At 38.3% G+C, this 27221-nt stretch overlaps 1 protein-coding gene across 2 annotated transcripts, besides 2 other annotated features; it reads left to right on the forward strand.

The window, feature by feature from the left end:
* Window positions 22-522: an enhancer, noted in NCBI's record as "H3K27ac hESC enhancer chr4:165794162-165794662 (GRCh37/hg19 assembly coordinates)". NCBI's record gives its function as "activates a minimal SCP1, AML or CMV promoter by ChIP-STARR-seq in naive H9 embryonic stem cells {active_cell/tissue: H9 hESC(naive)}" and the evidence as "EXISTENCE:reporter gene assay evidence [ECO:0000049][PMID:30033119]".
* On the forward strand, window positions 4190-26019 carry APELA (apelin receptor early endogenous ligand). Of its 2 annotated transcripts, none has more exons than XM_017007623.2 (3): window positions 4190-4419; window positions 5932-6021; window positions 25738-26019. In XM_017007623.2, the coding sequence occupies exons 1-2, from the start codon at window positions 4344-4346 to the stop codon at window positions 6018-6020; spliced, it is 165 nt and encodes a 54-aa protein (XP_016863112.1). In that variant the 5' UTR covers window positions 4190-4343; the 3' UTR covers window position 6021; window positions 25738-26019. The 2 variants fall into 2 exon arrangements, with proteins under 2 accessions (XP_016863112.1, NP_001284479.1); NM_001297550.2 differs by lacking the exon at window positions 25738-26019 and adding an exon at window positions 22428-24539.
* Window positions 21998-22197: an enhancer, noted in NCBI's record as "active region_22107". NCBI's record gives its function as "activates an Ori minimal core promoter by ATAC-STARR-seq in GM12878 lymphoblastoid cells {active_cell/tissue: GM12878}" and the evidence as "EXISTENCE:reporter gene assay evidence [ECO:0000049][PMID:35858748]".
* Window positions 26020-27221: the final 1202 nt, after the last annotated feature.

The following is a 27221-nucleotide window of genomic DNA, read 5'->3' on the forward strand; positions in this document are numbered from 1 at the left end:
AGGAGACGGAGGTTACAGTGAGCCAAGATTGTGCCCCTGCACTCCAGCCTGGGTGACAGAACCAGACTCCGTCTCAAAAAAAAAAAGAAAAAGAGAAAAGAAACACAAAGCATGACAAAAACAAGAAAAGCGAAAAAGGTGAGCGGAGTGTAGCCTAATTTGGATGCAGTGCAGTGTCCACAGAAAAAGTCACATTTGAAAGTTTAGGCCAGGCATGGTGGCTCATGCCTGTAATCCTAGCACTTTGGGGGGCCAAGGCGGGTAGATCACCTGAGGTCAAGGGTTCGAGACCAGCCTGGCTAGGAAGGAAGGAAGGGAGGGAGAGAGGGAGGGAGGGAGGGAGAAAGGAAGGAAGAAGGAAGGAAGGAAGGAAGGAAGGAAGGAAGGAAGGAAGGAAGGAAGGAAGGAAGGAAGGGAGGTTAGTTTAATGCTTGGACTCTATTTCAGACATCTAGCTGAATGATAATGGGCAAAGGGAGAGAAATTTTAGGTTGGAAAGAGTACTTTTATAGGGAGAGAGGGATGCAGTAAAGAAGGAAAGACTGAAGCCAGGTGCGGTGGCTCACGCCTATAATCCCAGCACTTTGGGAGGCCAAGGCGAGTGGATCACGAGGTCAGGAGATCGAGACCATCCTGGTTAACATGGTGAAACCCCGTTTCTACAAAAATACAAAAAATTAGCCTGGCGCGGTGGCGAGTAGTCCCAGCTACTCAGGAGGCTGAGGCAGGAGAATGGCGTGAACCCGGGAGGCGGAGCTTGCAGTGAGCCGAGATTGCGCCACTGCACTCCAGCCTGGGCGACAGGGTGAGACTCTGTCTCAAAAAAATAAAAAATAAAAAAGAAGGAAAGACTGAAGATGCAAGTGGCAACGATGAAATCAATTGGGAAGGATATCCTAGGAAAAGTTAGGGCACAAGATCCAAATCAAAGAGATAAGAGGCCCAGGACTGAGAGACACAGGCCTCATATTAACTTTGCTATGAGCTATTTTATCTGGGGCAAATCACTTAATCCTCTGAGTTTGTTGCCTTTTCTGTAAAATGAAGATAGAGCTTACATCATAAGATTATGATGTGTAAACAAAATAACATTTGTTAAATACCTGGCATATATAGTATACTACTATAAAATAAGTATATATTTATTGGATTATACAGAGAATATTTATATCCTTATAGAATATATGTAGGTACAGAAATGTATTGATTTCCTAGGGCTGTTATAACAAAGTGCCACAGACTGGGTGGCTTAAAATAACATAAATTTGTTCTTTCAAATTCAGGAGGCTAGAAGTCCAAAATCAAAGTGTCAGTAGTGTTGATTTTTGGAAACTCAGAGAATGATTTTGTTCCATGTCTCTCCCCTAACTTCTGGTGGTTGCTGGCTATCTTTGGCATTGGTTCCTTGGTTCACGGTAGCATAACTCTCATCTTTGCCTCTATCATCACAGAGCTCCTCCCCACCTGTCCCTGTGTGTCTCTGTCTCTTCTTTTTGCTATAAGGACAGCCGCCATATTGGATTTAGGACCCACCCTACTCCAGTATGACCTCAATCTTAACTGATTACATTTGCAATGACCCTATTTCAAAATAAGGCCACATTCTGGGTTCCAGATGGACATAAATTTTATGGGGCACAATATTCAACCTCGTACAAGAAATATATTGCTAACTTATCTTTTGTTTTATAATAGCTTCAATAGGCTTTTTTTTTTTTTTTTTTTTTCTTTTTTAAGAACTGGGATTGGGGCCTTAAAAGGGAGGATAGCGAAATGTTTGAGGGCTGAGATTATGGAATTTGGATCCCATCTATTCCTCTTCCGGTCATCTAGCCCTTGGAGGCTACACCTCTTTAGCTGTCAGTTTTCTCATCTGGTAAACAGGGAGTCATGATACTTCAGAGTGTTTTGGGGAGGATTATGCGAAGTAACATATGCAACACACTTAACATAGGATTTGGCCCGGGGCACAGCCCTTGCCTCCCTCACAAAGGCTGTCTGTAGGATAGAAGTCTAGGTTTGTGTTCCTGTAAACAAAGAAGATGCCTTGTTCTCTTATACTTGCAGGCTGAAAGTGCTGTTTGCAGAGCCAGTTGCATTGTTCTGACACTTTCCTACCAATATTTCTCCATACCTAGTTATTCAGTACTAAGATGAATGATTTATTGCTATTGTTGACTCACATTCCACAGAAATGCTGGATCACTTTTCATTGTACCTCCATGTCTAACATTTCAGTTGCTCATTGACTGTATAATCACTTTATTACTATACTCCAAAAGTCAACTATTTAAACAACATCTTTTTGTTTGTCTTTTTGAAAGACTAATTTTAAAACATGTAAATAAATCATGTGTAAATTTTCATGAGTTTAATACATAATCACTCTTTCAGGTAGAAAACCAGGTATTTTATCACATCTTTTTTCTTTTAATGAGAAAAATAATGTTCTATGTGGTTAGATGACTTAAATATAACAGTTTGCTCTGTCCTGATCAGTGGAGATATGTATCTTCCACAGCACTGGTGCATATTAGTGATATTCTAGGAATTCATTGTTGATCACCTGGTAATGAAATATAAAAATTTTAGTCAATATTTGCTCTCTGTGGTAGGTCTCTATCTTATCTATAAAGACTCACTACTAAACCTTTGAATAGACTTAAAACTTGGCCTGAAAATATAGTGCCAAAATCTATATTGATCTCTTATTGATTTAACATTCAACTTTGTTAGCATGCTGTTTTCCTGAATGCTGTACTAAGAAGACTGGGGCGGGAAATGGGGAGGGATTTAAAAATCTGAATAAACTCTTTGCCATTCTTAAGTCACTTGTATATCATGAGTTCAAACTCTATTGTATTCCATTGATTTTATGAAGCAATGGACAGCATGGTAAAGTAGGACCCTTTAACACTATGCTTGCAGTCCCCAAACAGGTCAATATATTCTCAAGACTTCAATAAAGTGAATTTAAGAATTTTTGTATGCCATCGCCTATTATAAACTTCATGCCTAACTAGACAGGCAGGGAAATTTACAGATTGACTTATAAAATCAAGACAAATTGTGCATTAAATTCAAACCTCAGGAAGCCCCAAGGTTATGTACCAACTACCTGAGTCTAAAGAAGCCAAATACAACAAAATTCCTAATGGTTCAAAACAAATTACACATGCTTTAGAGCTAGTACTTTGGCTGTACTTGTGTTTCAAGGCATACCTATACTATTCTTTTGGCATTTTGCATTTTACCTAAAATATGTTCGATATGGATGTTATAAATGGAATTTATTATACTTACATAATAAGTATAGTCATTTCCATTTATAACAGCTGTATCTGATATATAAGGGAGCACTTGAAACAAAAAGAGATCTTGGTGCATGTGTGTAAAAGACAAGGCTAGACTGTTTTTGTGTTTTCTGAATTCACTGGGAGATGAACTAAGACTTGTTTTCTCCATCTCCAATTTCTGTGACTGTGGTATGTTAGCCTGGTATTCCACCACATATAAATTTTTAACCGAACACAGATTTCATGAGTTTGTGGCTTGCCTGAACTTCCTTTTTTAAAATCCTGGACATTTGCAGATGAAAATAATCTGTTACTTTTAAAACTGCACTTTACAAAATATTAATATAAATGTATATGTTTTGCAGATTTATTTCAAAACATTCTAAATTCCAAAAATCTTTACTGTTACAAACCCAGTGAATTAGGCAATTTGGAGAGTTCGTGTAAACAGGCACTACTTTGCAGTAAGTTTGGTAAAGATAAAGCATTTCAGCACATGTTCTGCCACAAAGCATTTGGGACTCTTATGTTAGAGCTTCAGAATTCCTTCTGAAAAAGACAAAAGAGAGACTTCCTGTCATTTCCACTGGTTTCTGCATGTGGGACCAATATGGGCAAAGTTTAAACAGATGCAAATGGTAAGGGGAGGAGGCAGTGTCACGTCTTGTTTTACGTATTTCTTCATATCCAGATTGAATTTAAGTCATTCTCTTCTTGGAGCTTTTGGAGTACACTTCCACTAAAGTTATAGCATGCTTGAATGGTTTATTTCACCAATATTTGCTTATGGAAATAAAGGGGAGTGGCCGAGGAGAAAGGAGAAGAGGAGTGGAGGAGGGGTTTGAGGCTGAGGGAGGCTCTGACCACAGCACAGAGCACCGGCAACTTTGTCTAATGTGATCATTAACCTTCCTGCAAAACACAGCTGGCAGTTCTCTGAGGTTTGTCACTAGAATGTGAAGACAGCCACACAGATATTGCACAGACTATTTACAGATCGTTTGGTTTACATTGAGAGTCATTGCTCTACTTTTGTGCGGTAGGAAAATGAGATTTCAGCAATTCCTTTTTGCATTTTTTATTTTTATTATGAGTCTTCTCCTTATCAGCGGACAGAGACCAGGTAGGCCTTTGATACATTTGTACAAGTAACTTGTTTTGCCTGTTTGCATCCCTGGGTCTCTGAGCATGATTGTGTTTATCTGAAAACCACTTAGGTGTGCTTGCAGTTAGTAGTATTGGGGATAAATGTGTAGGATTTTGAAAGTATGCTATCTATCCTGTTGGGTCTATTATTTCAATATTTTAAAAACATCTGGACTTTGAAATGATAAGTATTTTACCACTATTTTTCCTAAATGCCAAGAAAATAGATCTCTAAGCTATTGCAGATTATGTTGTCTTTACAAGTAAAATGAAACAGAAGTGTTCGTCTATTCATTATAAAGGTAAATAAATGTATAGATTTTTAGGTAAAATGCAAACTCCAAAGCAGTTTATTTAAAAAGTATGTTGCTGCCCAGAGTAGGGGCTGAATTAACATACAAAAAGCATAATGCAACAAAATGCAGATTAAATCTTAAAACAGGTCAATAGCTGTCATTTCTAATTATGTAACTAGGCATGTCACTTAAAACAAATAAGTGCAGTTTTTATTATTATGCTTATACAGCTAAAAAGCATCAAAAATATGTATGATAAAGATACATAATATTAATTTACTTGACATGTTTTCAAAGATGATATCAAGTATATTGTACTTAACCAACAGAAATTTAGTACACAAAAGTATTCTAATGTACTTTTACTTCAAAACCAAACAGCTAAGATTTCAAAGAACCAGTAAGTTTGAAAAAAAAAAGAAAGAAAAGAGAGAAAAGAAGAGAGAAAGAAAGAAAGAAAGAAACAGAAAAAAGAAAGAAAGAAAGAAAGAAAGAAATTAGAAAGTTAAAGTTTTCTGAACCACAAACCCAACTTTAAATAAAAAGGTGGTAATATTTACATCCAAATATGTTAAATTATTCACTTGATAATATACTTCTTCAGTTAGAACAGAAAACGATGCATCACTTGTTAAAAATTCAGACTTTGCTTTTTAGTGAATTAGAAGTTTGATCACTGTGAGTTTATTTCGAATGATGTCCCCTGGTCTGTGCTTTTACATAAGTAAGAAAAAAGTTCCAATTCAGCAACTCTGAGAAAGCAGCTTGATCCCTTCTCATTGTTTACAGCAGTCACTATTCAAACCATTTATACTTTTCAGAAATACACAGTAGCTTTGACAATGTTCTTACAAAATATTTGTGATTAATTTACTACATAAAATAAAAGGTCTAGGAGCATTTAGGAAAAAATCATTCAAAAGGAGGAGGATATTACTATTAAGATGTTGCTATGTTGCTCAACGATGGAGTTAAAAAAATAGGAGTAAAAGAAGATCTTGCTATTAACATTAACTGTTAGGAACACCCCTTGTGTATATGCATCACATTGGTTTTTAATTTTATAATCACATTTGAACAAATGGCAAATAACCACAATCTAGTTTGGCTCCAAAATATGTTTGCATTGTCTAGATTAAACAACAATTAAGCCTCTGAAAAATGCTCCTAATACTTCTCTCTTTTTCCTTCAGTTAATTTGACCATGAGAAGAAAACTGCGCAAACACAATTGCCTTCAGAGGAGATGTATGCCTCTCCATTCACGAGTACCCTTTCCCTGAGGTATTTCTGACAGAAAATAGATTCGCTACATTTAGGCAGTGTTCCAAATTAGATATACCAGGAAATGTTTCTTCACAGTTTGTAATATGTGATAATGGCTTATGGCAATGTCAAGACTTAAGAGATGCATACCAATAAATGAAAGAGTTAAATGAATGACATGACTTTTGAGAATTGCTTTAATAGTTAAGGAAGAAAATTAGACAGATGAGGACAATGTAGGAAAATCTTGATAACTGTTGAATCTGAGTAACAGCTATTTGGGGGCTAATATTATTGCGGATGTTATGCAGAACGAGCCGATTCCCCTATTAAGACCAGTGTGTATGAAAGCATTTGGATGTATTCACCCAACAGCCCCATACCAGCAATGAACTACCATCAATACTTCGGGGTTTCTTTTCTTCTCCTCCTCTCCTCCTCTCCTCCTCTCTCCTCTTACCTCTCCCCTCTCCCCCAGGGTCTTGCTCTGTCACCCAGGCTGGAGTGTAATGATGTGATCCCAGCTCATTGCAGCCTCAACCTCCCGGGCTCAAGTGATCCTCCCACCTCAGCCCCCCAAGTAGCTGGGACTACAGGCATGCGCCACCACTCCTGGGTAATTTTTGTATTTTTTGTAGAGATGAGGGTTCCCCATTTTGCGCAGGCTGGTCTCGAACTCCTAGCCTCAAGTGATCCACCCGCCTTGGCCTTCCAAAGTGCTGGAATTTCAGATGTAAGCCACCACACTTCATATTCCTATTCAACTATTATTTGCCCTCAGGGTTTATTTATTTTTTCTGAAAATATTTCTTTTAATAGATAAAGTAAAGTTAACACTAATAAAATGGCAGCTTTCCAGCCTCACCAATAGTAGTGATCTTGATAGTCACATCTTAAGGATAAATTCTGGTAGAGTTTTGCTCCTCCCTTTTCTTGTTTTTACACTTGTTAAATAATGTTAGACCACCACAATTACTGGTAATACTGCTTGAATCAGTTAACTTCAAACACTGTCCAAGTTTAAGTCACTTCATACTAAAAAATACACAGTTTGGCATTCCATTGTAAGTATTTCAAGCTCATTAATTCATTTAAGATATAGCTTCCTTAAAAAATGCCACAGAAATATCCCTCATCTGGTTAACATACACAGGCAATGGCAAAATTAGCTTATTCAGTTGGCCTGTAGAGTAGCTTTTACGGTTCCATTCATTCAGTGGAAAGAACAGTTGCTGTATCTATTGTTTAATGCATGCTTTCCAAACCCGGGGAAAGCCCTGTAGTAGAAAATTAAATGAAGGAGGAGCAATTTCATAATAAACATTTATCAAAAGGATTGAGACAAAAATGTCAAGTTCTCTATGTCTATATCTGTAACAAATTAATCTTTGTTATCAAAATATGAAAAATAGCTTTGGTGGAGGAATCCAGAAAGATACAGTAGGAGGTTTCTGAGAAGCCAATTAATGGTGATTGAAACATGCTTTAAAAAGATTTTCTGTGTTAAAATATCCTTTGGTGTGTGTTGATAATGCTTCCAGCAGAGCATTTCAGTGTCATGTATGAAATAATGGTAAAAATCTGTGCTTAAGAGGAATAGAGACACCCCAGATTTTTCCAGCACTCCTTCATAAATAACAAAGAGGAGAGGACACATTTCACAATAGCAAGAGAATTCCTGCATATACAAAGAAAGATACCTTGCAAAATATAAACACAAGTCTTTAGATAGCCACATATTATCCTCAAATCACATACCATAAAAACCAGTGTTACAAGTAAGCATGAATAGTGAAATTTGAATTTTTAAAGTTGAGGGGAATTTTGACTTACAAATCAAGTTTGTAAACCAAAGGGAAATTTAATTAAAGCTATGCAAACTACTTAATAATAGCAACTCTTTACAAAAGTTGGCTGAGAGCTTATAAAACTGCTTGGGTGACAGCATCCATTTTCTCAGTTTTAGACTCGTTCTACATTTCAGCTACTGTTCTTTGAAGAATGTTTAAAAGTCACCTGTTGGAATCTACTGTAAGAGTTAATGTAAGATAAACATTAGAAAATTTTTCAAGACCTTGCTCAACCAGCACTATAATAACAAGTGCTACCTTCAGATCTGATAACATAATTCTCACTGTCCTAAATACTTTCCCATTTTTTATATGTTTTGCAACAAAGGCACTTTGATAACTGGGTAAATGTACTGTAAACCTAGGTAGTGGACTCTAAGGCAAAACACCCCTTTCACTTCTTCCCCTCTAATTTTTTGGATGCTTTAGATAAAATCACATGTGGTTATTTGATCAGTTAGGATCAAGTAAGACTTTGTAAAAGGATAGGTAAGGTAAACAATTGACTTTGAAAGTTTTCCAGATTAACCCTTTATTAGAGTGTTCAGACCTTTAGCTCTTTTAATAGAAATGTCATATTATCTTTACTCTGTCAATTTTTCCAGCTCCTAGGGTCATCCTCAATGATCCCAGCCTATGCAACTGAATTAATTACACAGAAAATTACATGCTGTATGCCGTTCATTTCCTTGATTTTTTTTTCTCAGAAATATTTTGGCACCACCTTCAGTCCTAAGTGATTTAGAGTGAAGGAGAGCAAGGGAAGGGGTGTCAGGAAATGCAAGTCTACAGGTTAATGTGAGGGCCCTAGAGTGGAAAATGAGGTCGCGACTTAAGGCTGGAATGACTTCTCCCTTCCAACAGTAAAATCTCAGCACATCAATGCTTTTATTTATAAGTATGTACTCTAAGGCCAGGTCCAGTGGCTCATGCCTATAATCCCAGCACTTTGGGAGGCAGAGGTAGGTGGATTGCTTGAGTGCAGGAGTTCAAGACCAGCCTGGACAACATGATTTAACCTTGTCTCTACCAAAAAAAAAAAAAAAAGTTAGCCAGGCATGGTGGCGTGTGCCTCTAGTCCTAGCTATTTGGGGGGCTGAGGCCTCCAGGGAGGATCATTTGAGCCCAGGAGTTTGAGGCTGCAGTGAGCTATGATTATGCACTCCAGCCTAGACTCTGTCTCTAAAACATTACTTACTTAATATGTACTCTAGATAACTACATACTCCGTCAATACATACTCTACTAGCTTTTTTTTTTAATTTATTTTTATTTTTTGAGACAGAGTTTTCACTCATGTTGCCCAGGCTGGAGTGCAATGGTGCCATCTCGGCTCACCGGAGCCTCCACCTTCCAGGTTCTAGCGATTCTCCTGCCTCAGCCTCCCGAGTAGCTGGGATTACAGGCATGCACCACCATACTCGGCTAATTTTGTATTTTTAGTAGAGACAGGGTTTCTCCATGTTGGTCAGGTTGGTCTCGAACTCCCGACCTCAGGTGATCTGCCCCCCCTCAGACTCCCAAAGTGCTGGGATTACAGGCATGAGCCACTGCGCCTGGTCTAGCTAGCTTTTTAATAACAATTGTAATACATCTTCATGGTGTAGAATATATTTCTAACAGTATGGAAGAATGTAAAGTCAAAAGTACAAGTTCCCCATCCTACCCTATTGCCCATATTCATGTTCCAGAGGTAATGACTATGAATATATTTTTGGAAAAAGTGTCTTTTAATACATTATTATTATTATTATTAATTTCATTATTATTATACTTAAAGTTTTAGGGTACATGTGCACAACGTGCAGGTTTGTTACATATGTATACATGTGCTATGTTAGTGTGCTGCACCCATTAACTCATCATTTAGCATTAGGTATATCTCCTAACGCTATCCCTCCCCACTCCCCCCACCCCACAACAGTCCCTGGTGTGTGATGTTCCCCTTCCTGTGTCCATGGGTTCTCATTGTTCAATTCCCACCTGTGAGAACATGCGGTGTTTGGTTTTTTGCCCTTGCGATAGTTTGCTGAGAATGATGGTTTCCAGCTTCATCCATGTCCCTACAAAGGACATGAACTCATCATTTTTTATGGCTGCATGGTATTCCATGGTGTTAATACATTATTTTTAATTGAGTCCAACTGATACTCTCTTGTCACCCTCACTTGGTATTCAAGCTTTGCTTCTAGTTTCCTATTTTCTGTCTTATTCTTACCCCCTTGCAGTCATGGGCATCTGACCCCCTTAACCAAACCTGCCCTGCTTCCCAACTCTTCCTGCAATTGTCCTAGCATCTTCATCCTTCTCACTCCATTCTCTCCACCTCTTGGGTTTAAGTGAAACCCAATTCTGCTTTCAGCATAGAATCTCTACTTTCATGGAGCACTTCATCTCCAACTTTAGCTGGGCTCTCTGGGAAGAACTCTTCTGCACTTCATATTCCTATTCAACTATTATTTCAAACTAATAACCTCTAGTTTCTTTACACTTCTTAATCTCCTCTTCCAACTCACAGCAAAAGATAACTCCTCTTACTTCAAGTGAAATAGGAGGTCATTAAGCCTCAAAATCCAACCTCGCCCTCAAACTACAGACATCTACATCTACAATGCTTCTTTTATGTTCCCTTTCTAGTCTTTCTTTTTCTTTTTTTTTTTTTTTGAGACAGGATCTCATTCTGTCACCCAGGCTGGGTGCCATGGCATGATCATAGTTCACTGTAGCCTCAAAGTCTCAGGCTCAAGTTATCCTCCTGCCTCAGCCTTCCAAGTATCTGACAGTACCGGTGTGTGCCAACGTGCTTGGCTAATTTTAAGATTTTTTGTAGAGACAGGGTCTAACTTTGTTTCCAGGCTGGTCTTGACCTTCTGGGCTCAAGCAATCCTCTTACCTTGGCCTCCCAAAGTGCTGGGATTACAGGCATGAGCCACTGTGTGTGGCCCCTAGTCTTTCAATAAAAAATACCTCTCAAGTATGGGTAATCTCCCTACACCTCAAGGACCTTGATCTAGCAATTATACTCTCTTGCTCCCCCAGAATGTTCAATATGTCAACACTGATCTATTTTGTCTTAAAAAAAAAAAAAAAGACAGAAAGACGAAAGAGACAAAGACAGAAAGAAAGAGGAGGAGAAGAAATAAAAAGAAGAGAGAAAGAAGACAGAAAGAGAGGAAGAGAAGAAAGAGAAGGGAAGAAAAAAGGAAAGAAAGAAACAGGGAAAGAAGGAGAGAAAGAAAGAAGGAAAAAAAGAAAGAAAGAATGAAAGAAAGAAAGAAAGAGAAAGAAAGAAAGAAAGAAAGAAAGAAAGAAAGAAAGGAGAAGAGAAAGAAAGGAGAGAAGAAAGAAACAAAGAGAGAGGGAAAGAAGAAAGAAAAAGAGGAAGGAAGAGAAGGAAAGAAAGAAGAGTTCCACCATTGACTCCATAGTGCTCTCTAGCGACCAGCCCATGTTCTCTTCATCTCTTCAAAGCCACACTTTTTGAAAAGGCAGCTGTTTTCTTTCCTCCCAACTATTTTCAACACATTGTTCCCCTTTTCCTTCTGCGGAAGGTCCATTATGACTTCCTTCTTCTGAATCCAGTGAATGTGTTTCAGTCCTGATCTCAGTTATCCCGCTGTAGGTCAAATGGAACACAAAATAATAACAATAATTTGACAAACAACACCTTACAATATATACCTTTCCAGTTTCATCTGTTACCTTATTCTTTCCCCCTTGCCTGTCCCAGAGGAGATAAGAGTTAAGACTGTGTTTGGACCTACTAGATTCAAGCTCTGGCCACACAGCTCACTCTCTGGTGATCATTGTTGGTAAGTCATTTATTCTCTCTGAGCTTCCCTCCACTTCCAGATCTGTAAGATGGAAATTGTTATGGCCCTTATCCTATCATAACAATACTTGGCACACAGTAAGTGCTAAATAAATAGTAGTTAGACTTATTATTACTTTAAAATCAGTCCATTCTTCACCTCTTAACTGTTCTTCAAGCTATGCTTTTGCCTCAAATTTTTTCACTTTTTTTCTCAGTATCATTCATCCTTTAGGAAACCTTCTCTGATTTTATTACCCCTATTAGTTACAATAGATATACCCACTTTTGCTCTCAGAGCACTAGTTACATACTTCTGTTAAAGTCCTTAACGCCTGGCATTAGAAAGTGTTAACTGACTATAGTCTTCCCCTCTTCCCTCTGCATGCTGTAAATTCCCTGAAGGCCGAGGGTAGGTTTTATTTATCTTTGTATTTTCAGCCAAAAAAAAAGTGCCTAAGTGTTTTTGCTTGTTTGTTTGTTTTGTTTTGTTTTTGAGACAGAGTCTTGCTCTGTCGCCCAGGCTGGAGTGCAGTGGTGTGATCTCAGCTCACTGCAGCCTCCGCCTTTTGGGCTCAAGCAATTCTCCTGCCTCAGCCTCTCAAGTAGCTGGCATTACAGGTTTGTGCCACCACACTCAGCTAATTTGGGTATTTTTAGTAGAAACGGGGTTTCACCATGTTGGCCAGGTTGGTCTCGAACTCCTGACTTCAAGTGATCTGCCCCCCTCGGCCTCCCAAAGTGCTAGGGTTACAGGTGTGATCCATCGTGCCCAGCCTCATAATGTTGCTAAAAGATGTAAAATAGGCTGGGCGTGGTGGCTCACACCTATAATCCCAGCACTTTGGGAGGTCAAGGTGGGCAGATCGCTTGAGGTCAGGAGTTCGAGACCAGCCTGACCAACACAGTGAAATGCCATCTCTACTGAAAATACAAAAATTAGCCAGGTCTCATGGTGGGCACCTGTAATCCCAGCTGCTCAGGAAGCTGAGGCAGGAGAATCACTTGAACCCAGGAGGCGGAGGTTGCAGAGAGCCAAGATCACGCCATTGCACTCCAGCCTGGGTGACAGAGTGAGACCATGTCTCAAAAAAAAAAAGATGAAATGAAATGAAGCTTTTATTCATTATCTTTCAATTTAAGATCATAAATTTAAGACTTGTTCTCACTAGACACACACACATTTTCAGATTTATTTTCTAATATTTCTAGGATGGAACTATCATTTTCTATCTCTGTGGTGGAGATATTTCCTCTTCTAGGAATTTCTTCTCTCATCAAGTCCAAACTCTCTCCCTCCTTGAGAATTCTCATAAATCCTATTTTCCTCATGACGACCACCCTAATTCAGTTAGTTTAAAATAAACTTCATCCTCCTAACAATCACAGCACTTTTAGTAGTAGGCTTTTAAAGCCATCTATCACATTTGACTTTGTTTCTTTAGATTTTTATCAGTATTGAAATATGAGCTCCTTGAAGACAAGATTTAGCCCCTAAAGCTTAATGTGAATGGCCCAAGAACTGCCTTAAATATGGGGCATTCCTGTGTGGGCTGAAATATCTGCAGGACATATTGCATAAAGCTAAATGAAATATTGAAAATTACTCTTTTCTAAATTAATCACAGCCCAGTGTCCAAAAGTCATGCTTGGAGGAAATCCCTAATGTCCCTAATTTACTGATGAGATAAAACTTTTCTGTAAAGATTATGATGCCAGCCAGCCACAGTGGCTCACACTTGTAAACCCAGCACTTTGGGAGCCTGAGGTGGGAGGATCTTTTAAGACCAGGAGTTTGAGATCAGCCTGGGCAACACAGCAAGACACTGTCTCTACAAAAAATACATTAGCTGGCATGATGGTGTATACCTATAGTTCCAGCTACTCAGGAGGCTGAGGTGGGAGGATTGCTTGAGCCGAGGGGTTGAGGCTATAGTGAGCTGTGATCATACCACTGCACTCCAGCCTGAGAGACAGAGTGAGACTCCGTCTAAAAAAAAAGAAAAAGATTATGATGCCTTAATGATGAATATATTTACTTATACACTTATATATCAATGCATAAATATAGTGATGTTTATATTATAAACATTTATTACAATAATTGTATATTCCTCTGAACAAAGTATGTATACAATGTTCTAGAGTTTCAAAGTTTTCTTTTCTTTTCTTTTCTTTTTTTTTTGGGACAGAGTTCCACTCTTGTTGCCTAGGCTGGAGTGTAGTGCAGTGGCACAATCTCGGCTCACTGCACCCTCCACCTCCCAGGTTCAAGCAGTTCTCCTGGCTCAGCCTCCCAAGTAGCTGGGATTACAGGCACCTGCCACCAGGCCTGGCTAATTTTTTTGTATTTTTAGTAGAGACGGGGTTTCACCATGTTGGCCAAGCGGGTCTCAAACTCTTGACCTCAGGTGATCTTCCCACCTCAGCCTCATAAAGTGCTGGGATTACAGGCATGAGCCACTGCGCCCGGCCAGTTTTCTTCATTTTAAAAACTGATTTCTCCTTACAAAATGTGTAATAATTCTTTCCATAGATAGCTAAACTAGCTGCTCTCTACCATGTTGTTCAGGAATCTAAAATTTCTTTTTAGCATAAATCCCATCTAATCCATTCCCCTCCTTACCCACCCCCATCTTCCTCTTCCTTCTTGGTATTACGGAAGACATGGCCAATCCTTCATATGTGCTGTGGGTCCCCTTCTCTCCCTAAGATTTCTTAGGAATTTCAAGCTGTACTTATACCTTTACCTCTCTGGATCATCGTGTCAACTTGAAAGTTTAAATGGTGATAAGCCTATATCCTAAAACAAAAAAAACACACATATACACATCCACATACCCCTCAGTCAATGCTCTCATGATTTTTCTGTACTCATTGTCCCTGATTCATTATTTTGTATTCACATCTAAATCCACTTTAATCTGCTTACATCTCCATTAGAATTATCCTTATCTTACTAAATTTTTTTTTTTTGAGATGGAGTTTCTCTCTTGTCACCCAGGCTGGATTGCAATGGTTCCATCTCAGCTCACTGCAACCTCTGCCTCCTGGGTTTAAGCGATTCTCCTGCCTCAGCCTCCTGAGTAGCTGGGATTACAAGCATGCGCCACCATGCCCAGCTAATTTTTGTATTTTTAGTAGAGACAGGGTTTCACCATGTTGGCCAGGCTGGTCTCGAACTCCTGACCTCAGGTGATCCATCTGCCTCGGCCTCCCAAAGTACTGGGATTACAGGCTTGAGCCACCGTGCCCAGTCTGATCTTTCTAAATTAATTGACAAATTTTAGTCTTCTTCCTGATTTCACAGCAGAATTTAGCAGCTGGCTACTTGGCCTGCAAAAGTCCCTTCCCTTCAATTCCAGGGCACCATACTTATTTCCACTAAGTTCTCAGCCAACCCTCTGCCTCCTAAACAGGCTGTTGTACCCTGCAAGGTATAATAAAATGTATCTCTACTCTCTCCTGCTCTGTTTTATCCATTCCTTTAGCCTCAATTACCTCTTTACCCTTAAGTATCATACTCCTGAGGAAAAAAAGAAAAAAAGAAGATAACCACTCAAATGAATCAAGCCAGGGCTATTTATTCAGAGTTTACATAGCAAGGGAGTCAGCCAGCATCTCTTGAGTTTGGCAGAGGACCAAGACAGGCAGAGAATCAGGAAAGCTTCATTGTGAGAAACAGAGAAGGCTTTAGGTATGATGTGACTGGAGATTGTTGGCATGGGAAAGCTGAAGGCAGGCTATCTAGAAGCATGATATCCTATTTAATTTGGGGAGTATATGTGGTTTTCTTCAGTTAGTCCTAAGCTAGAATCAGGGGAGGAGGGATAAAAAGGAAACTGGTAGTTCTTAACCATCTGGGACCAGCTGCTGCAGAGGTTGTGATTTGGCTTCCTGGGCTGGTTGCTGCAGTTTGTGGGTCAAAGCATTAATATAGGAGCTGGCCATTGTACACTTGTACATATTCAGTCTCCCAGTTCCCAATTTGTCACCAGTTCACATTACACAAGCTCAACGACTGTTTACCTTGCAGCAACCTTCACACCTCCACTTTTGCTTCTCTTTTATCCATTCTTCGTATTATGGCTTCTATACTTCTTAAGGTCCTTTAGTGATTTCTCATTACTCTTACAATTGAAATAAAATTCTGAATGTAAACCACAAAAGCACTTCTCTGTAAGTTTGTCAAATATGTCATGTTCCTTACCACTTCAGGGCTTTTACACATTATTTCCTCCGCCTAGACGTGCTTTTTTCCTACTCTTCACCTTTTTCCTACTCAATGAAAATTTTGATTAAATGTCACTTCTCTTGAGAGTGTGTGTGTGTATGTGTGTGTGTACCATATATAACTTCTTTTTTTTTGAGACAGAGTTTTGCTCTTGTTGCCCAGGCTGGAGTGCAATGACGTGATCTCGCCTCACTGCTAGATCCGCCTCCCGGGTTCAAGCGATTCTCCTGCCTCAGCCCCCCAATAACTTCTTTTATTACACTGGCCAAAGTAACCTCGGTGAGGGTGGGGTGGGAGTGGGGATGAGGGTGGGGGATATGTGGGGGCTTGGAGTTCTTTAGGTATCACATTTCATTTATGTCAAAATTGTGCTGGAGTTTAGTTCAATTTTATACTTAGTCTTCACATTTTTTTCTAATAGCAACATTTTTATATATACGAAAATTATATGTGTATAAATATGACATATATACACATTATTTAAACATATGAAATCCATTTACTGCTTTGTCTTTTACTTAGCATCTAAGTGACATTTAATCTAATTTACTTTAATATTGTATAAATATGACATATATACACATTATTTAAACACATATGAAATCCATTTACTACGTTTATCTTTTACTTAGATGTATTTATTTGTACATATGAAAACAGTAAGTTATTTTTATTTTTATTTTACTTTAAGTTTCAGAATACATGTGTAGAACGCACAGGTTTGTTACATAGGTAAACGTGTGCCATGGTGGTTTCTTGCACCTATCAACCGTCACCTAGGCATTAAGAGACGGTCACTTTGAATGACACTGTAGTCCAGTCGGCCCTCCATATCTGTGGGTTTTTCATTAAATCAGCCAATGGCAGATTGAAAATATTCAGGAAAAAAAACAGAATGGCAGTATCTGTACTGAACATGTTCAAACTTTTTTCCTTGTCTTTATTCCCTAAACAATACAGTATAACAACTATTTACATACCATTTATATTGTATTAGGTATTATAAGTAATCTGCAAACAATTTAAAGTATACGGAAGGCTAAGTGTAATTTATATGCAAATACTACACCATTTTATATAAGGGACTTCAGCATCCATGGATTTTGGTATCCAAGGGAAATCCTAGAACCAGTTCCCAGGGATACTGAGGGATGATTGCATTTCACTGTATGGATAGCCTTAATTTATTTATCTTGACTTTATTGATCAATATTTATGTTTTGTAATATTTATTTATGCTATTTTGAACAACGCTGCAGTGAATGGCATGCATACGTATTTGAACATATGTACACTTATTTTCTTGCAAAATACTCCTAGAAGTGGAATTATGAGGATATGCATGTTTAATTTTTTTCAGTTATCATTTATACACCCGACAATTCACCCATTTAAGGTGTACAATTTAATGGCTTTTACTATATTCCTAAGTTGTGCAACCATCACCATGATCAATTTTAGAACATTTTCATCATCCCATAAAGAAACCCCATTCTCATTAGCAGGCACTCCCCATTTCTCCCCAGCTGTTCAGTCCTGGACAGCCACTAACCTACTTTCTGTCTCTATAGATTTCCCTATTCTAGATATTCCATATAAATGAATTCTTGTGATATGTGGTCTTTGTAATTAGCTTTTTTCACTTAATGTTTTCAGGGCCCATCCCTGTAGTAGCATGTATCAGTACTCCACTCTAATTTACGACTGAATACAATTCCATGATATGGAAAAATCACATTTTGTTTGTCCAGTCACCTATTGATGAACATTTGGGTTATTCCGGCTGTTTGGCTAATATGAATCATTCTGCTGTGAACATTAGTGTATAAGTTTTTGTTGGAACATATGTTTTCAGTTCTCTGGGAATTAAAAGAGAGGAATTGTTGGGTCATATGGTTATGCTATGTGTAACTCATTGAGGAACTGCCAAACTGTTTTTCACAGTAGTGGCATCATTTCACATTCCCACCAGCAGTATACGTGGGTTTTAATTTCTCCACATGCTTGCTAACACTTGTTGTTATAGCTGTCCTAGAGGGTGTGAAGTGACAACTTATTGTGGTTTTGATTTGCATTTCCATAATGACTAAAATGTTGAGCATCTTTTCATGTGCTTATTGGATATTTGTGTCTCTTTGGAGAAATGGCTATTCAAATCCTTTGCCCATTTTTCAGTTGGATTATTTGTCTTTATATCGTTGAGCTGTAAGATATATATATATGTGTGTGTATATATTCTGAATACAGGGCCCTTATCTGAAATATGATGTGCAAATATTTTCTTCCATTCTGTGGATGTCTTTTTTTGGTGTTGTCCTTGGAGCAAAAAAGTTTTTAATTTTATTGACATCAAATTAGTCTATGTTTTCTTTGGTAGCTTGTTCTTTAGATATTATATATTTAAAAAATAATCGAAGGTCACAAAGATTTACATCTACTTTGTCAATTTCTGCAAAGAGCCATTTGGTATTTGGATAGGGATAGTTTTAAATCTATAGATCAATGTAACAAGTATTGCCATTTTGACAAAATTAAGTCTTCCAATACATGAAATGGAATGTATTTCTCTTTGTTCAGGTCTACTTTAATTGCTTTTGTAGTATTCAGAGTACAAGTTTGTACTTCCTTTGTTAAATTTATTCTAAGTATTTTATTCTTTTGATGCTATTGCAAACGGAATTTTCTTAATTTCATTTTTGAATTGTCCATTGCTAATGTATAGGCATATGATTGATTTTTTATTGATCTTATATCCTGAAATCTTAATAAAATTATTGATTCATTCTCATAGGTTTTTCAGAAGGTTCCTTAGGATTTGCTGTGCACAAGCTCACGTACAAGATCACCTGCAAATTGAGATAGTTTCTTCTTCCTTTCTAATCTGGGTTTCTTTTTTCTTTTCTTGCCTAAGTGCCCTGATAAGAACCTCCAAAGTAGTTCAAGCAAACATGTTTGTCTTATTCTTGGTCCCAGATTTAGTCTTTCATCTATTAAGTATTATGTTAGTTATGGGTCTTTGTAGATGACCTTTATCAGATTGAGAAAGTTCTTTTTCTATTGCAAGATTGATGAATGTTGTTATTATGAAGGGAGGATGTTTGTTTTGGTCACCTTCTTTTTCTGTATCTAAATTATCATGTGTGGCCAGATGTGGTGGCTCATGCCTGTAATTCCAGCACTTCGGGAGGCTGAGGGGGGCAGATTGCTTGAGTCAGGGAGTTTGAGGCCAGCCTGGGCAATATAGCAAAACCCCATCTCTGCAAAAATTACAAATAATTAGCCAAGCAGGTGTGGTGGCATGCACCTACGGTCCCAGCTACTCAGGAAGCTGAAGTGAAAGAATCGCCTGATCCCAGGCCAAGGAAGTCAAGGCTGAGTGAGCTGTGATCAAACCACTGCATTCTAGCCTGAGCAATGGAGTGTGACCCTGTCTCAAAAGAAAAAAACATACAGAAAACCAAATATATATTCACACACACATATATATGTATATATATTATCATGTGTTATGTGTTTTGTCTCTTATTCTATTGATACTATGCATCACATTAAATGATTTTCAGATGTTAAATTAACATTGTATTTCCGAGGTAAATCCCACTAAATCATAATGTTCTTCATATGTTGCTGAATTTAGATTGCTAGTATTTTGCTGAGGATTTTTACAGCTACATTCATAAGAAATATTGGTCTGCACTTTTCTTATGATGTCTTTTTCTGATTTTGGTATTGGGTAACCATAAAATGACGTGGGAAGTGTTTTCTCCTCTTCTAAATTTTGGAAAAGTTTGGGGAAAATTGATACTAATTATTCTTTAATTCATTTATAGGATTCACCAGTGAAGCCATGTGGTTCTTTTTGGAAAGTTTCTTAATTGCTAATTCGATCTTTTTTCTTGCTATATATCCATTTCAGATTTTTATTTCTTTTTGAGTCAGTTTTGGTAATTTGTGTCTTTCTAGGAATTTGTCTATTTTATCTAAGTTATCAAATTTGTTGGCACACAGTTGTTTATACTATTTTCTTATAGTTATTTTTTGTTTCTGTAAGGTTAGTAGTGATGTTCCCTCTTTCATTTCAGAGTAGTAGTTTGAGTCTTTTCTCTTTTATTCTTGGTCAGTCTAAATAAAGTTCATCAATTTTGTTGCTATTTCCAAAGAAACAACTTTGGTTTTGTTGATTTTTGCTATGGTTTTTCCATTCTCCAGTTCATTTGTTTCTGCTGTAATCATTATTATTTCCTTGCTTCTGCCTGATTTAGGTTTTGTTTGCTCTTCCATGTTTAGGGTCTTAAGTGAAATGTTAGGTATTCAATTGGGATCTTTCTTCTCTTTTACTATAGATGTTTATAGGTATAAATTTCTCTTCAAGTGCTACTTTAGCTGTATTCCCTAAATATTCATTGTCAGTCATCTCAAAATACTCTCTTATTTCCCTTCTGAGTCTTCTTTGAGTTACTGGTTGTTTAGGAGTGTGTTGTTAATTTCCATATATTTGAGAATTTCTCAAATTTCTTTTGTTATTGATTTCTAATTTGATTCCATTGTTGAATCATCTATTTTTCCTTTCAATTCTGCCAGATTTTGCTTCATGTATTTTAGGGCTCTAAGTATATATATCTTCATAATTGTTCTATCTTCCTCAGTTGACCCTTTTAGCATTATAAATGTCATTCTTTGTCTCTAGTAATAATTTTTGTCTTAATTTTTAAAACTATGACATTATTAGTATATTCGCTTCAGCTCTCTTATACTTGCTGCTTGCATGATATCTCTTTTTCCATCCTTTGACTTTCAATCTATTTTTGGCTTTGAATCAGAAATATGCCTTTGCAAAGAACCTATGGTTAATCATGTTTTTTGTTTGTTTGTTTTTTTACCCCGTCTGACACAATCTGCCTTTTGAATGGATTATTTAGTAAGTTCATGTTTAATTTTATTATTTATATGGTTGAACTTACGCAATTTTATTTTTTCTTTTCTATATGTCCCATGTCTTTTTTTGTTCCTCTCTTCCTCTTCTACTGCTTTCTTTGCATTAAATGAATATTTTCTTGGGTTTGTATTTTGGTCACCGAAAAAAAAAATAATAAAAGGAAAGAAAAAATAAGAATATTGTGCAGTATAACATTTTAATTTATTTAACAATTTTTTGGCCGGGCGTGGTGGCTCACACCTATAATCTCAGCACTTTGGGAGGCCGAGGCAGGCAGATCACTTGAGATCAGGAGTTCAAGACTAGCCTGGCCAACATGGCAAAACCCTGTCTCTACTAAAAATACAAAAAAATTAGCCAGGTGTCGTGGCGCACGCCTGTAATCCCAGCTACTTGGGAGGCTGAGGCAGGAGAATCATTTGAACCCAGGAAGTGAAGGTTGTGGTGAGCCAAGATCGTGCCACTGTGCTTCAACCTGGGCGACAAACATGTATATATTGTAAGTTTGATAAGCAAAAAAAATCCATCTCATTTTCATCTATTTTTTACAAAACACACACATATATATTTTTTCTTTTCTTTTCTTCTTTATTTTTTTATTTTTTTATTTTTTTGAGAGAGTCTTGCTCTGTCACCCAGGCTGGAGTGCAGTGGCTTGATCTGGGGTCACTGCAACCTCTTTCTTCCAGGTTCAAGCAATTCTCGTGCCTCAGCGGGGAATATAGGCATGCACCACCATGCCCAGCTAAATTTTGTATTTTTGGTAGAGACAGGGTTTCACCATGTTGGCCAGGCTGGTCTCAAACTCCTGGGCTTAAGCAATCCACCTGCCTCGGCTTCCCAAAGTGCCAGGATTATAGGCGTGAGCCACCATACCCAGCCACACATATATTTTTTCGAGATGAGCTCTTGCTATGTTTTCCAGGCTGTTTTTAAACTTCTGTGCTGAAGCCTTCCTCTCACCTCAGCCTCCCCAGTAGGTGTGAGCCATCATGCCTGGCCCCATTTCATTTTTATGTTCAAATTTAGGCAATCCGAGTTGAGAGAAATGATTCCAGAAGAGGTATCTCTATATTTGTATTGCTAAATTAGTCATAGTTAACACCCCACTATGACTGTGAGATGTGAAGTGAAAGTGAAATGTGAAGGAGGTGGAAGCTTCCAGAAATGAAGCAAGAAGCAGCCTTCATGTCTTCAGGAGGGGTCCCAAAAGAAACTACCTAGGGAAACATTGACACCAGTGGCGCACACCTGTAATCCTAGCTATTCAGGAGGCTGGGGCATGAGAATCACTTGAACTCAGAGGCAGAGGTTGCAGTGAGCTGAGACCGTGCCACTGCACTCCAGCCTGGGCAACAGAGTGAGACTGTCTCAAAAAGTAAATAAAATAAAAGTTTAAATTCAGCCTTTTAAAGACACATAGGTGCTGCATTTCTATTGGAAGGTAAGAATATATAAAGTTGCTTTCAGCACTGATAAACACTGATAAACTTCCATAACTCATTATTAAAAAAAAAATTAGGCATGTGTTTATTGGTGTGCTGGATAGTATTTCTTTGATGTATTTGTTTCTCCCTTGCCTCTCAAATATAGATCTCTCTAGCTAACTTTACTGGATCTATCAGAAGAAGAAGAGGAGTGAAGGAAAGACACCCAGCCACACAAAAGAACTTCATGATGCCAACAGCGTGATTGCTTAGAAGTTCCTACACAAAAAAAGGATCATTTGAAAGCACCTGGAATGGTTTATTAGCTTCACAGGATTTTATTCTTCTTGGCTTCTATTTGGAGGGAAAATAACATAAATTCAAAAGGATTCCAATCTGAAGCCCAAATCGTTTGCCTACATAACAAAAATATCTCATCTTTTCCTGCACATTATTATTCTTTTATGGGTTAAAAAGAAAAATACCTTTTAGTGTTTTAGAACTCTCTCATGGTAAAAAGTGCAAGAATTTAAAATGTTGCTTTCATATTCCTATAATTCTCCAAAAGTATTAAATTCGTATATGTTTGAGTGATTTTCTAAAAACTGCTCAACCTGAAATCAATTGCATTGACCATTTGGCTTCGCACAATAGGGAGAAAATAATTGGTTCATTGATTATATAGAGAGAAAGACTAAGAAAAGCTATTAATTGCTACCAATTTTATGATAAGCTTTAAGGTTTATGAAAGTATGTTTTTTTATTTAATGAGTAATGTCCATTTGAAGTTGAAAGAAAACATGAAATCCTAATTGTAGTTCATTTTATGTTCAAATGAAACCATTGTTTTTGTTTTTGTTTTGAAACAGAGTCTCACTCTGTTGCCCAAGGTGGAGAGAAGTGGCACGCTTTTGTCTCACTGCAACCTCCACCTCCCGAGTTCAAGTGATTCTCGTGCCTCAACCTCCCAATTATAGGCTGGGATTACAGGTGTGCACCACTACACCCAGCTAATTCTTGTATTTTTTGTAGAGATGAGGTTTTACCCTGTTGCCCAGGCTGGTCTTGAACTCAGGCTGGAACCATTCATTTTTTAACCTTTCTCATCATGTAATTATAGGAACCCAACGTTTGATTTCCTTTGAAGTTTTGTTATGTCCTTTATTATTTTGTATGGATAATTTCTTTAAAAGTCTTACTTAAAGTTGACATCTAAAATACAGTTATGCCAATGAAGTCCCACTCAGGGTGATATCTGTATCTAAAAGATGAGTGCTCATCATCCTATTAGGCTTTGTCTTGGTGGTGTTCATCCTGAGATGCTGAGACATGGAAATAAAAAATCAGAAGGAATTTAGGGATATGATTACTCAAAAAAGAAACTATCCTGTCTAAATTTGAATTGTGTTGATAACTAGGTGTTCCCCAGATGCTAAGATGTTCTTAATTTGTATTTATTGAAGGATTGTTAGCTTAGTGCCACAAAATTTTTCTTACTTTATGTTAATTCCAGATAAGAAATTTACAAGTTTATATCTTTTTTTTTCTTTTTTTTAAGATGAGATCTGGCTCTATCACCCAGGCTAAAGTGCAGTGGCATGATCTAGGCTAACTCCCTGGCTCAAGCGATCCTTCCACCTCAGCCTCCCAAGTACCTGGGACTACAGGCACTCACGGCCACACCTGACTAATTTTTGTATTTTTTTGTAGAGATGGAGTATCGCCATGTTGCCCAGGTTGGTCTCAAACTCAGGCTGGTGAGCTCAAGTGATCCGCCTCCTTGGCCTCCCAAAATACTGGGATTACAGGCATGTGCCACCATGCTGGGCCACAAGTTCATATCTGGAGTAGAAGTTTTACTTTGTAAATATTATAAAGTAGAAGAAACCATAAACCATTTTGCTAAAATGAAAGGTTGGGGTTAATATAAATGTAATTTTAAATAGAAAATCTGACAACACTGTCGAGTTTGTCTTCCTGTCAAAGCTTATTAAAAGTGTCTTTGCGGATGAATGGTACTTTCCACAAGTGCATTTGAGTAGAAGCATAACCTATTCTCAGTTATATTTATGTTTAAAACATGTACTGGTTTGTATATTTTGTACTGAAAAAGAAAACACTTTATAGTCAAGATACATCTCATTCAATACAAGTCTAAACTCTTTCAAATACAAATTCGCATATTCACAGAAAAAGTTACAAATCAGTTTTACTATTGTAAAGTAATGAAATGGTTATACATTTCTTAATTGTTCAATAAAACACTCAATGATTTGCATGTCTGGCTGTCCTTACTTTGTATAAGAAATGTTCAGTGTTGAGTATAGCATGGTAGAAATGTTCCTGATGCCCGTCTCTGTTTCCAGTGTTTGTTCCTATTAATTGAGGCATTTAAGACTGAACAGCCTCGATACAGCCCTTACCACTGCAGATCTTTTACATAATTCATGATGATCAGAGCAAGGGCAAAGATTCTCTCAAAGTCTACCAAAACACAATAACCAGTGGCACATATGCTTGTTGACCTACCAGAACAGGTCCTTGACATACAGCTATCTTTTATTCACCGGGAGGTAAATGAGACCAGAGGGGTGCCAAATCTGTGTTCTTTAAACTCAACAATTTTTATGGGTTGGTATTCTTTTAATTATCTTTCTTGGAGATAGAGTCTCACTCTGTTGCCCAGGCAGGAGCTCAGTGGCGTGCTTCCAGCTCACTGCAAACTCCATCTCCCAGGTTCAAGCGATTCTGGTGCTTCAGCCTCCCGAGCAGCTGGGATTACAGGCACCCACCACCATGTCCAGCTAATTTTTGTATTTTTATTAGAGACGGGGGTTCACCACGTTGGCCAGGCCGGTCCCGAACTCCTGACCTCAAGTGATTTGCCAGCCTCGGCCTCCCAAAATGCTGGGATTACAGGCGTGAGCCACTGCACCCAGCCTAATTATTTTTGTATTAAAAGTTCTTTGTGGCCGGGCGTGGTGGCTCACACCTGTAATCCCAGCACTTTGGGAGGCCGAGGATGGTGGATCACCTGAGGTCAGGAGTTCGAGACCAGCCTGACCAACATGGAGAAACCCCATCTCTACTAAAAATACAAAAATTAGCTGGGCGTGGTGTCGGGTGCCTGTAATCCCAGCTACTCGGGAGGCTGAGGCAGGAGAATTGCTTGAACCTGGGAGGAAGAGGTTGCAGTGAGTCAAGATCACGCCATTGCACTCCAGCCTGGGCAACAAGAGCAAAACTCTGCCTCAAAAAAAAAAAAAAAAAAGGTTATTTGTAATTTCTAACATTTTCAGAACACAAAGGAAAAGACTTTACAGAGCTTGATCAAGATGGTTAAGGGGATCAGTAGTAATGGTGCCACCCCAATTTGGATCCCAGGGTTGAGTCAGTGAATAGACCAGATGGAGGGTGGTGGACCAAAGCAAATTGTAAAGGCTGATCCCTTCTTTCATGTTTTGCCCTTCTTACAGCTTCCTTTGAGGAATGAAAATCATTGTTTGCTGTACATTTGATCAGAAGAAAAAAGAAAAACTGAAATTAGTGAAGTCAGTGAAGTCTTCGGTCCCGTCCTGAATCATTTTTACCCTCTGTTTAGGGACAGGTCTAGAACGAGTGAGCACAAAACTGAAGAGTGTGCCGAAAATCTCAGCAATCAAGATAACATTTGAACTCCATTTTTGAAAAAAATAAAAACTAACACCCACGAAAAATACATGATGAATAAAACATCAAAATTTTAGATAAACACAGGATATCAGGAGTGAGTGTGGTGGCTCACTCACCCAAAGTGTAATCCCAGCACTTTGGGAATCTAAGACAGGAGGATTGCTTGAAGCAAAGAGTTACAGACCAGCCTCTGCAACATAGCAAGTCTTCGTCTCTAAAACAAAATAATTAGCCAGGCATGGTGGCGCATGCCTGTAGTCTAAGCTACCAGGGAGGTTGAAGTGGGAGAATCACTTGAGCCTAGGAGTTGAAGGCTACAGTCAGTTATGATCACCACTGCATTCTAGCCTGGGCAACAGGAAGACCCTGTTGAAAGGAAGAGAGAGGACCAGGTGCAGTGGCTCACACCTGTAATCCCAGCACTTTGGGAGGCCGAGGCAGGTAGATCACTTGAGATCAGGCATTCGAGACCAGTCTGGCCAACATGGTGAAACTCCGTTTCTACTGAAAACACAAAAATTAGCCAGGCGTGATGGTGCGTGCCTGCAGTCCCAGCTACTCAGGAGGCTGAGGCAGGAGAATCTCTTGAACCCAGGAGGATGAGGTTGCAGTGAGCCAAGATTGCACTACTGCACTCTGGCCTGGGCAACAAAGCAAGACTCTGTCAAGAAAGAGAAAGAAAGAAAGAAAGAGAGAGGGAGGGAGGGAGGGAGAGAGAGAGAGAGAGAGAGAGAGAGAGAGAGAGAGAGAAAAGAAAGAAAGAAAGAAAAAGAAAGAAAGAAAGAAAAGAAAGAAAGAAAGAGAAAGAAAGAAAGAAAGAAAAAGAAGGAAAGGAAGAGGGAAAGAAAAGAAAAATAGTTAAACCATGTTAGAGTCTTTGGCAAAAGGAAAAATCACTAATTTGAATCCCATCAGTAACAAGAGCCTTGTCTAGGCATATTGGGCCCGAGTTTCAGCCCTCTGTTTCCTCCCTTCATTCTCACTTCCCAAAATGACCTCACTCCCCAAACTCCATGTCTGTAAATGATTTTCCACTCTTGGCTTCCACTTGCCAAAGTGTTCATGGAAAGAAGACCAGATTCTAGCCCTGGCTTCTTTTATATCTAAACTCTCATTTCACTATAAATCATATTATTGGATTCCAAGGAGTAAGACAGGTCAAGTGAGGTTGATGATTTGAGGCTCTGGCCCCTGTCAACTGCTCTGCAGAAAAGTATTATTAATCCCATCTGGAAGTCGGCCATCTGATTGTACACTAGGAATTCACAAGGACTATCCACACCATCTC

Source organism: Homo sapiens, chromosome 4 (assembly GCF_000001405.40).
Source record: "Homo sapiens chromosome 4, GRCh38.p14 Primary Assembly".
Taxonomy (NCBI): domain Eukaryota; kingdom Metazoa; phylum Chordata; class Mammalia; order Primates; family Hominidae; genus Homo; species Homo sapiens.

What these genes read in the sequence shown, in the direction of transcription:
- APELA (XM_017007623.2), top strand. Translation starts at nt 4,344, where the DNA reads ATGAGATTTCAGCAATTCCTTTTTGCATTTTTTATTTTTATTATGAGT. An exon ending in TATCAGCGGACAGAGACCAG is followed by an intron (nt 4,420 to 5,931) that starts GTAGGCCTTTGA and finishes TTTTTCCTTCAG; the next exon opens with TTAATTTGACCATGAGAAGA.